The 10,197-nt window shown below is 47.6% G+C and overlaps 1 protein-coding gene across 1 annotated transcript in view, besides 1 other annotated feature; it reads left to right on the forward strand.

The window, feature by feature from the left end:
* Positions 1 to 8,408, forward strand: part of MYOM2 (myomesin 2) — a 100,411-nt gene extending 92,003 nt beyond the window's left edge. The window contains exons 33-37 of the mRNA NM_003970.4: positions 3,675 to 3,838; positions 4,093 to 4,129; positions 5,327 to 5,349; positions 6,353 to 6,408; positions 7,616 to 8,408. Coding sequence (NP_003961.3) covers positions 3,675 to 3,838; positions 4,093 to 4,129; positions 5,327 to 5,349; positions 6,353 to 6,408; positions 7,616 to 7,933 — 598 coding nt within the window. The 3' untranslated portion in view covers positions 7,934 to 8,408. The remainder of the gene's footprint in view (positions 1 to 3,674; positions 3,839 to 4,092; positions 4,130 to 5,326; positions 5,350 to 6,352; positions 6,409 to 7,615) is intronic.
* Positions 749 to 1,249: an enhancer, noted in NCBI's record as "H3K4me1 hESC enhancer chr8:2085784-2086284 (GRCh37/hg19 assembly coordinates)". NCBI's record gives its function as "activates a minimal SCP1, AML or CMV promoter by ChIP-STARR-seq in primed H9 embryonic stem cells {active_cell/tissue: H9 hESC(primed)}" and the evidence as "EXISTENCE:reporter gene assay evidence [ECO:0000049][PMID:30033119]".
* Positions 8,409 to 10,197: the final 1,789 nt, after the last annotated feature.

Genomic DNA, 10,197 nt, shown 5'->3' on the forward strand with positions numbered 1-10,197 from the left:
ATTTCTAGTCTCTCTCTCTTTCTCACACACACACATATACACACACAGAGCAGAGGTTTGAACATCTTCGTCTATACATCTAGGATGCAATAGTTTTGGCACATAATTTAGCTCTTTGAAGAAGACACATTTGAGTTAATGGTGATCAAGAAAACATTGTCTTCTCCCTAACACCCACGTGATGTGTGGGAGGATGAGCTCACACAGGGTGATGAGCTCACACAGGGTGGCAGCGATTGTTGCGTCCTCTTGGTGAGACTGACCAGCGACAGCACGAACAGAGCATTTCGTGCAGGATGCAAGACACCAGGCATGACAAAAATCGTCCCCTTCTTCGCAAGCGGGGAGCTCATCACAAATCCCCAAGCAGTATCCAGGCTTTGCAGGGCAGGGAAGCAGGGTGGGGCCAGGCAGGACTGAGGGCCTTACTGATGTGTGGAGGTTCAGGCTGGAATCCTGTCCCACGGGTCTGTGTGTGTGCAGGAAGCACACATAGCCAAGTTGGCTGTGCCTGGTTGTGTGTGTGTGTGTGTGCATTTGTTTGAACTTTGACCCTCATCAGTTCCAACAAGAGAGGGTGACAAGATGACTAAGGCCTATCAGTGTTGGCAAAACAAGTTTTTCTGACTCTCAACAGAAGAGTTCCACATGCTTGTGGAACCCTGTTTCCTTGGATGGGGTACATTTAGTCAATAAACGATTACAGTGGGCCCAGTTCCCCACTGATCTGCAATTTCTGATTTGCTGATTGGTCTGTAAAGTGTCCAGTTGTAAGTGCATCCAGGGGGATAAAGAAGTCTTTCTTAATCAAGCTGTGATGTCCCTACAGTGTGTCAGTGTCTCTTTGCCTTCAGGTCTCTGCACAGACGGGCTTCTTGCTGCTCCTCACACGCCACGGTTTGGGATTGAGTGGCTAATCCACTGCCTGGTATATGTTCTGTGCAAGGTTTTTCTTTTCTGCAGAGCTGAGAATCACCATGTAAAGTCTAATTTTCCTTTTATACACAGGGATGAGTAGGTCTGAGTGCTGCAATGGCCCATCAATCCCTTTAGTAATAGCGACCTGCTGTGAGCTCACAGGACGGCTGGTGTGGCCACTGATGCTCACCTGCCCTCAGACACACCACGGATGGAGACTCTGGCAAGTCCGTGTTGCCTTTAATGTAAGCGCCAGCCTGCAGCTTGCAAACATGGCACTCTCGGCCCGGCCGGCTCTGGCTGCTGAGTGCTGGGGCCTGGGGTCATGGCCTCATCGCTTCTGCTTCCCTCTCCTGCTCCCCAGGCAGCCCATGCTGACTGTGGACTGAGAGCAGCTGGGCGGAGCCTGGGGCTCTGCTGCGGGGTCAGCCTTCGTGAGGCTCCCAGGTCAGCAACGTATAGAATTCCAGATGCGGGACTGAGAGATTCCTGAAGGATTGCCTGGTCCGATTCTCCCGCCTCTTTCCGGGGAGGGGCAGATTATGGGAAAAGGGAGCTAATTAACATATTGTGAAGGGCTAAAGGGGTCACTTTTACATTATGTGCATTCTAACACAGTTTTTAAAAGTTTAGATAGAACCAAAGTGCTCACACTGCCCTGCCTTCTAAGGCGGCACGAACTCGCTCCCACATCGGCAACAGGTGAGGCCAACCTGATTATTGTAGACAAATGTGTGTCAGTTATGTTCCAAAGTCGCTTCAGTAGATGTTGAGCATGTCTTCTTGGATTCTAAAACAACCGCACATGGGCAGTGTTAGATCCTCCCTTCTCTGTCCGGGATCCCAGAGGCTAAGTCTCAGGGTGAAGCCAATCCCACAAAACCATCCCTGGGAACAGCCATTTCGGCCTCTCTGGCTTAGTGTGCGCCAGGATCCCACTGTGCCTTCACAGAACTCCCACTTTCTATCCGGACAGACTCAGTTCCGACACACACTGCCAGCACCACCACCAGAGACCCGACACACACTGCCAGCACCACCACCAGAGACCCGACACACACTGCCAGCACCACCACCAGAGACCCGACACACACTGCCAGCACCACCACCAGAGACCCGACACACACTGCCAGCACCACCACCAGAGACCGGGACGCAGAGCCAAGCATTTATTTTTACATATATACTTTTTGAGACAGTGTCTCGCTCTGTTGGCCAGGCCGGAGTGCGGTGGTGTGATCACAGCTCACTGCAGCCTTGACCTCCTCGGGCTCAGGCAGTCCTCCTGCTTCAGCCTCCTGAGTAGCTGAGACTACAGGTGCTTGCCACCACACCCGGCTAATTTTTTTATTTTTGTTGAGACAGGGTCTTGCTTTGTTTTCCAGGCTGGTCTCCAACTCCTGGGCTCATGTGTTCCTCTTGCCTTCGCTTCCCAAAGTGCTGGGGTTACAGGTGTGAGCCACCACACCCGGCCTGAGCTGTGCATTTATTATGGGCTTAACATATATTTGTTGAAGGAAAGAATAACAGAGAAAAAGGCTATGATGGTGAGGAGGGCTGGAGAATTCCCTTTCCCGATGGAACATAGGCATTCTTGGTTGCCGGCAAGGGTAAGGAAAGATGCCACAAGCACCACAGCTGGCTCTCTGTGCAACTGACCCAGCCTGCTTCCCCAAGCTGCGGCTGTTCTGGAGCTGGTGCCCGAGAGAAACAGGTCCACATTCCAGCTCTTGGGTGGCCCTGGAGTCCGTCCTGTTTTCATGCACCTGTGACTATGACTTCCACAGATCTCTCAGGCTCCCTCTAAACTGAAGTAATGTTAGGAAATAACTTATACACTTTTGTCTGCAGTAAACAGTTTGGCCTTATATGTTGCAGATGTGGAACCTTAGAAGGCGGGAATGTATGAGCACCTTGTTTTTATCTAAACTTTAAAATATTGTAGCATAATACACATAATGTAAAAGTGAGCATTTTAACCACCTTTAAGGGTACTGTTCAGTGGTGTTAAGTACATTCACATCATCGTGCAGGCACCACCACCACCCAGGACCTTTTCATCCTCCCACCCGAAACTCTGTTCCCATTAAACCCTCAGTCCCCATTCCCCTCCCCCAGCCCCTGGTACCCACAGTTCTACTTCCTGTCTCTGTGAATCTGACTACCCTAAGCCCTTCATAGGAGTACATATTTGTCTCTTTGTGACAGGCTTATTTTACTCAGCAAAATGTCCTCAGGGTTCATGCACATTGCAGGAGGTGTTGGGATTTCCCTCATGTATTTATGGACCACATTCTACTGATCCATTCATCACCAATGGACGCTTGGGCTGCCTCCCCACCGGGGCGGTCGTGAACGATACTACGAAGGATGTAGGTGTGACAATATCTCTCCAAGACCCCGTGTCCAATTCTTCGGATCTACACAAGTAATTGCTGGATCATGTAGTAGTTCTAGCTTTAATTTTTTGAGGAACTACCATACTATATAGAGTAATGTTAAGTCCATTATGTCGTGACAAGTATATATTACATAATAATATACCTTTAAAAATTAAGTATCATTTAATTTTAGAAAGTTTTCAGATCTGAGTTACTGATGTGGTCAATACATTCGTAACAGCCAGAATAATCTATTGTGACATTGGCATCAGCAGCTTAGAGAAGGCTGTCACAGCAACGGGACATTGCCCTGTAGACATTGTGCGTGTGACATGGAGACCCTAACTCAGATACGTTCCTGTTGCTCTTTTCAAGAGATGCTAAGATCTCATCCAGTGAGCATATGAGAATCGGGGGGAGTGAAGAGATGGCTTGGCTGCAGATATGTGAGCCGACTGAGAAGGATAAAGGAAAATACACTTTTGAGATTTTCGATGGCAAAGACAACCATCAACGCTCCCTTGACCTGTCCGGACAAGGTAAGAGAATTCTTCTTTAGCATTTAATAATTTCCTATTTAGAAATCCATTTAGATGCTGAAGGGAGGGAATACAATATGAATACAAGAGACAATATGAATTTACAATTTTCATTTAGAGAAAATGAAAAAATAAATTTATTCTTTTTTTATATATCAGTTTTCATGAACCAGATTCACTGGTATAATATTTGAGTGAATAAATAAAATCTGAACACTGAAATGGTTAGTAACGTATGAACTATTTCCTCACAGCTTTTGATGAAGCATTTGCAGAATTCCAGCAATTCAAGTAAGATTTGTGTATTTAGTTACTATGATATCCTGTGGGCAGTTGAGTCCCAGTCGTTTTGGCTGCATGTGGGAATCTGTATGGAAGCCTGGGTGACCTAAAGAAAGAGCCATTCCTGGGACAGAAGTGGGAATTTAAGCAATGCAGTATATGGAGGGGTGGGCATTCTCCTAAACCAGAAATGCATTTATAAACGGACTGTCCAGAGTCATCGGAACCCCGGATGAATTTCGGAAATCATTATTGTGAGAGTTGAAGAAAGAGAAAAGAAACACGCAAAGCAGATTAACAGTCAAAGACAGGTTTATTTTGGAGAATAAACCTGAGTGGGGCTTTTGGCCGATTTCGGTCAGGAGCGCTTTCTTTTACAGACTAAGGGTATTTAAGGGTTCTGGCTCAGGCTAGGAAGGTTTCTGTGTGGAGGAGAGTTTTATTGTGAGGTTGGAATACCTCTGGTTGGAGGGGAGCTTATCTCAGGGTTGGAATGTTTTTGATTGGAGGGCAGGTTATGCCAGGGTTGGTATGTTTCTGGTCGGAGGTGTCATTTGTGGTTTATGGCCATGCTGACATTAGCCCTTAAGCTGATGTTTTTGGGCTGGACTTAGGCGGTTTCTAATCAAGGAAGACTTAAAATGGCGATGCTAGTCCAAGATGGCGGTGCTGCTGCTCTGCCAGTCATCATCAGGGCAGCACATCACACACAGCAACTTTTTAAGGACAATTCGGGGTTTTCAAATGCACCATCGAGTCTTCGCACATCCGAAGCTGACCGCAGTCCTTGGCCCATGCTAGCTTATTTAATGAACATTTGTTGACTGGGTGCAGGGATGAGCAAGATAGATCAGAAACTGACAAATTCCGAAAATATCTCAAGTCTCCAGTGCAATCTAGTGAATTTGTGAAAAAAAAAAAAATCTCTTCAACCTGTGAGCTGGAATGCTAAACTTTTCTGTGGGTTTTAGCATCTGGATAATAGGGCATTTTCCACCTCAAAATGGGCAGTGGGAACCATCAGGAAAAATCAGTGATATCCATCCTGGGGTCCTGTGACCCGAACATGTTCTTCTAAGAGAATGCAAACGTATCTCCTTCTTCTTTTGCTTCATCGCTAGTGAGCCTCTCAGCTGTGCATTTTGTTGGAAGCATTTTCTCATACTCTCTTTTCATTCTCTCCTTTCTGTCCCCTTTAACTTTTAGAGCTGCTGCTTTTGCAGAGAAGAGTAAGTACCTGTTGGATTGTAACCAGGATGGTGAATTATTTGGGGTGGGGCAAAAGTGTCCATATTTTGGAGGACCAACTTTGTGTATTAAATAATAACCAGCAATCCCCCACCCTGATGTAACAACGCCACCAACACCACACCCTGTCCTGGAGCCCCATGTCCTGCACCACTGATCCTTGCACTGCTTTCGGCCTTAGCCCCGTCACCCCTTGGACACCCTCCCTCCCTCCTCCCTTGCAGAACCTGCAGCCCAGACACCCAGGGCCACTTCACTTTCTTTCCCTCCCTTCCTCCCTCCCCTCCCCTTCCCTCCCTCCCTCCCTCCCTCCCTTCCTCCCTTCCTCCCCTCCCTCCCTTTATTCTTTTTTTTTTTTTGACAGAGTCTTGCTCTGTCACCCAGGCTGGAGTGCAATGGCATGATCTCGGCCCATTGCAACCTCTGCCTCCTGGGTTCAAGCGATTCTCCTGCCTCAACTTCCCGAGTAGCTGGGATTACAGGCACCCGCCATCATGCCCGGCTAATTTTTGTATTTTTAGTAGAGACAGGGTTTCATCATGTTGGCCAGGCTGGTCTCTAACTCCTGACCTCAGATGATCTGCCCGCCTTGGCCTCCCAAAGTGTTGGGATTACAGGCGTGAGCCACTGCGCCTGGCCAGGACCCCGTCACTTTCTGCCCAACTCAGGGACACACGCGGCTCTCCAGGCCTTCCGTCCTCGGTGAATTCTTCACCCTTCAAGCCCAGTTCCCATCTCACATTTCCTCTGGAGTGTTTCTCCCCCAACCCCTTCACAGAGTCTGTTATCTCCTCATCTACCTTCCCTTGGCTTTGGTTTATCCCTCAACTGTAAACATATAAACCTTTTTCTTTGATGCTCGCTCTCTCCTGAGCATAAACTCCTCACCACATTCACCTTGGTACCCACTGCTGCTTACATGGCTCCTGCTCCGTGGGAACGTCCCGCAGATGTTTTCCTAACCAAGGTGCTTTCCCGTTGCAGATCGTGGCAGGTTGATCGGCGGCTTGCCTGACGTGGTGACCATCATGGAAGGGAAGGTGAGGATTCTAAACTCGGCCGGGGTGGGGGTGTCAGCACGGTGCGATGGACGCAACCCCTTCTCTTGGGGCGGAGCAGAGGGAACCCAGTGAGGGGCTTCTGTGTCCTCACTCAGCCTGCAGGGAACCCAGAGTCCCCCCCACTTTTCTGCCCCTCCTAGACGGCTTGGAATAGCCCCTGTATTCTCAAAGGAAGGAATCACATAACATTCCGAATCCACAAACCTGTGTTCAGAGGAACACGTTGTGCCACTCAGGCACCTCAAGGCAAGTGCTGTGGCTTTGGGTGTTTCTATGCCCCTGTGGCCATTCACCCAGAGGAGCAACTGCAGGATGAGGCAGCCACACTCGCCCTGACCTACCTGCGTGTGTGAAGGTGCAAGCCCCCTGCTTCCAGTGTGAAACAGCACAGCTTTTACAACACGAAGGAAAAAAAAATCTCTGCTCCTATTCTCAAGGTCATTGTGGAACACATCGTGGAAGCCACTTATTGGAGTTTAATTTGTTGCCTGTCGGGAGAATTATTGATATCTAATTGATAGCTGTCTGGTTGCTTCAGTGGGTCTAACTCAATGTCACAGGGACAGAGATACTTGAGAAAATTTTATTAGCCCAAAAGACAAAAATTTATAGACGTCTTCTTTAGTAGCTAATGGAAGCCTAGAGAGCTCTTGAGATCTCATCTTAAGGATGTAATTGAGAAATTAGCAATCGTTTTACTTTATCCTAGGCTGAAAGCATGTTTTAACTAAGCTTCAAGAATGCATTTTTTTGCCTCCAATTTACCAGTTATAAAACGATATATTCAATGGGTTTGCCAGAGGAACTGGTAAGAGGGATCCATAACTCTAAATAGAAAGGAAATTTGGGAGCAGACTGGATATATCTACTATAAAACATAGAGCTTAATTAAATTACTTTCAAATTCTTTAATTGACTTAGGCTATGGATAAAAGCTAAGAATAAATAGGACACATGCTCACTGATTTTTTTACGAGCTCGCCTGTGAAGTGGTGAACCTGTTCCCTGCTGTCCTCTGCCTGCTCTGTCCAGAGCGGCGCTCATGTACATAAAGGCTTGTTTCTAAACAAACGATTGAAGGACCAATAAATGTAACTGAGTGTGACCTGGAGCCCACCGTCCGAGGGGGTGACATGACTTTCCTTTTTCTAACTCTTCCTTCTCCACCAACCTCTTCCGTCCAAAGACCTTGAATCTGACCTGCACGGTGTTTGGAAACCCTGACCCCGAAGTGATTTGGTTCAAGAACGACCAGGACATCCAGCTCAGCGAGCACTTCTCGGTGAAGGTGGAGCAGGCCAAGTACGTCAGCATGACCATCAAAGGCGTGACCTCCGAGGACTCGGGCAAGTACAGCATCAACATCAAGAATAAGTATGGCGGGGAGAAGATCGACGTGACAGTGAGCGTGTACAAACACGGGGAGAAGATCCCGGACATGGCCCCGCCCCAGCAAGCCAAGCCCAAGCTCATCCCCGCGTCTGCCTCAGCGGCAGGCCAGTGAAGGCGTTTTCCTAGCCTGGAGATGGGAAAATATGCTTGGCAGAGACAGGAATGCTGTGTGCTTGTTCCAAATGAGCAGCTGGCATCCGAGTGGTGTCCTGTGTGGGCTGATAGTTGATCACACATTGTGCTTTTGATTTTTGCATTTGGTGATGAATATTTTATACCCGTCTAAGGGAGAAAGCTAATGTTTTCCACAAGACTGAACAACGTGTATTTACACGAGGGTAGACGGCAGATGCCTGACAGAGAGTGGGTTGGCAGACAACACACTAGAATTTTCACGGGTGTGGGCACATGGGTGTGGCACCTGGACGTGTGCAGCATGTGGCGGTCTGTGTGAAGCCACCGTGCTTCTCTTTGGGGGGCCGCGAGATCTAGCATCTCTGAAATCCTGGCTGTCGAGGCTTTGAAGCATGTGTTACCTGGTTAAGCTTGTTTTCTCTTGCTTTAGGCAAATAAAAGTTTAAAAATCACCTTGTTGTGGTTTTCCTGTACCAAATCACACCTACCTGCCCCTGCTCACCCCCTGGCTTGTTTAATTATGGGTTATCATGCACTTTCACGGCTGGTGGGGTGCAGATAGTGCACTCACCCTCCAGAGAGCAGGGCATGGTGAATCACACCCCCAAAGCCCCTCCGACCCACGGGGCTGGGCTGCTGGCCCCCAGCGGCACCCAAGACGGCACCAGTCCTAAGAAGTGTGCGTTTTGTGCAAGGCTTAGAAAGGCCACCTAGTGATTATACCACGGATCTAAAAGTCTCTGTAGAGGAAAATGAAATGCAAAGATGGCTCTGTTCTTTTTTAGTGTGCTAATGAATTAGGAAGGGATTTCAAAAGAAAGAAGGCACTCATTCAGAATGATCACTGCAGTAGCCATGGAGGAAAAATAAAAACTTGGCTGCCTACACAAGGCCTCTTGGTGAAGTTAAAAAACGTGTTTAGGAGGAACATACCCTCTCTTTGAACTTTTTCCTCCTTTGTTTGGAAAGAGGCTGAAATTCTTCTGGCATAAAAATCCCATTTCAATATTTTAGTTTTATTGTTGCTTTATAACAGAAAAAGCTTTGATAATTAAGAATGTTTTACCTTTCTGTGTCATTAAGGGCAATCCAAATTTTACGAGAATTTGTTATATTTTTCTAAGGTAATAATACAAATCCTGAGAATTAAATATGTCCCCAGTAACATAAAGCTGGCTGAGCTGGTTTCCATGGCAGTAAAGTGAGTATCAGCAAGAATTTTATTTTTGTTATTTCTCCCTTTTCTGTCGTGCAGATGAACTTGAGCGGAGTTTGTTCTTATTGCGTGGTGGCAGCCGCGTTTTCCAAAGCGTGCTTGGCAAGGGTAGGCGCAGACAGTCTCAGTTTGACCTTGATTTAGTTAAACAGATTTTGTTTATTTTCCAGTTTAAACAGTCATTTTTGTTTAGCAATCGTGGTTCATGGGAAATAATTCAAATGGTTGTGAATTTCTTGAAGCCATATATACTATTTTTAATAGACCTCCTTTTTGAGCAGTTTTAGGTTCACAGCAAAGTTAAAAGGAAGGTAGAGATCTCCACTCCAACCCCTACCCCCACCACAGCTTCCCCCGCTACCAACACCTCCCACCAGAGGGATGTGCTTGTTACAACCGCTGCACCCACACTGACACGTCACCATCCTCGCAGGCTGGAGTTTACCCTGGGCTCGCTTCTGGCGCTTGTTACAACTGCTGCACCCACACTGAAGCGTCAGCATTGCCGGGGGCTGGAGTTTACCCTGGGCACACTCCTGGTGCTGTTGGCTCTGTGGGTTTGGTCGGGTGATCAGGACTCAGGTCCACCATTGTAGCATCATGCACAGTCTTTTCTCTGCCCTAAAAATCTTCCCTTCAACCACTGAGCATTTTACTGCCTCCATAGTTTTGAGTTATAATATTTTTTAAAAGACTTTTTTTTTAAAAGAATGAAATAGTCTTAGACATGCAGTAAAGTGTCTTTACAACGGCGCAGAGAGCCCAGTGGACTCCACAGTCTTCCTGTTGTTCACGTCTCGCGTTGCTGTGGGGCGAGACGATGGCCTCACCTCCGGGTGGCCTTCAGACCTCGCTGGGTTCCCCCAGTGCCCTCTCTCTGTCCCAGGACCCATCGAGGACACCAGATGAATTTGCTGTTCACGTCTCCCAGCCCCTCCGTCCTGCGATGGTTTCTGTCTGTCCTTGCCTTTCATGACCTTAGTGGCTTTGAGGAGTTTTGCTGGTTATCTTGTAGGATGTTCCCC

The sequence above is a fragment of the Homo sapiens genome, chromosome 8, assembly GCF_000001405.40.
Source record: "Homo sapiens chromosome 8, GRCh38.p14 Primary Assembly".
NCBI classification, from domain to species: domain Eukaryota; kingdom Metazoa; phylum Chordata; class Mammalia; order Primates; family Hominidae; genus Homo; species Homo sapiens.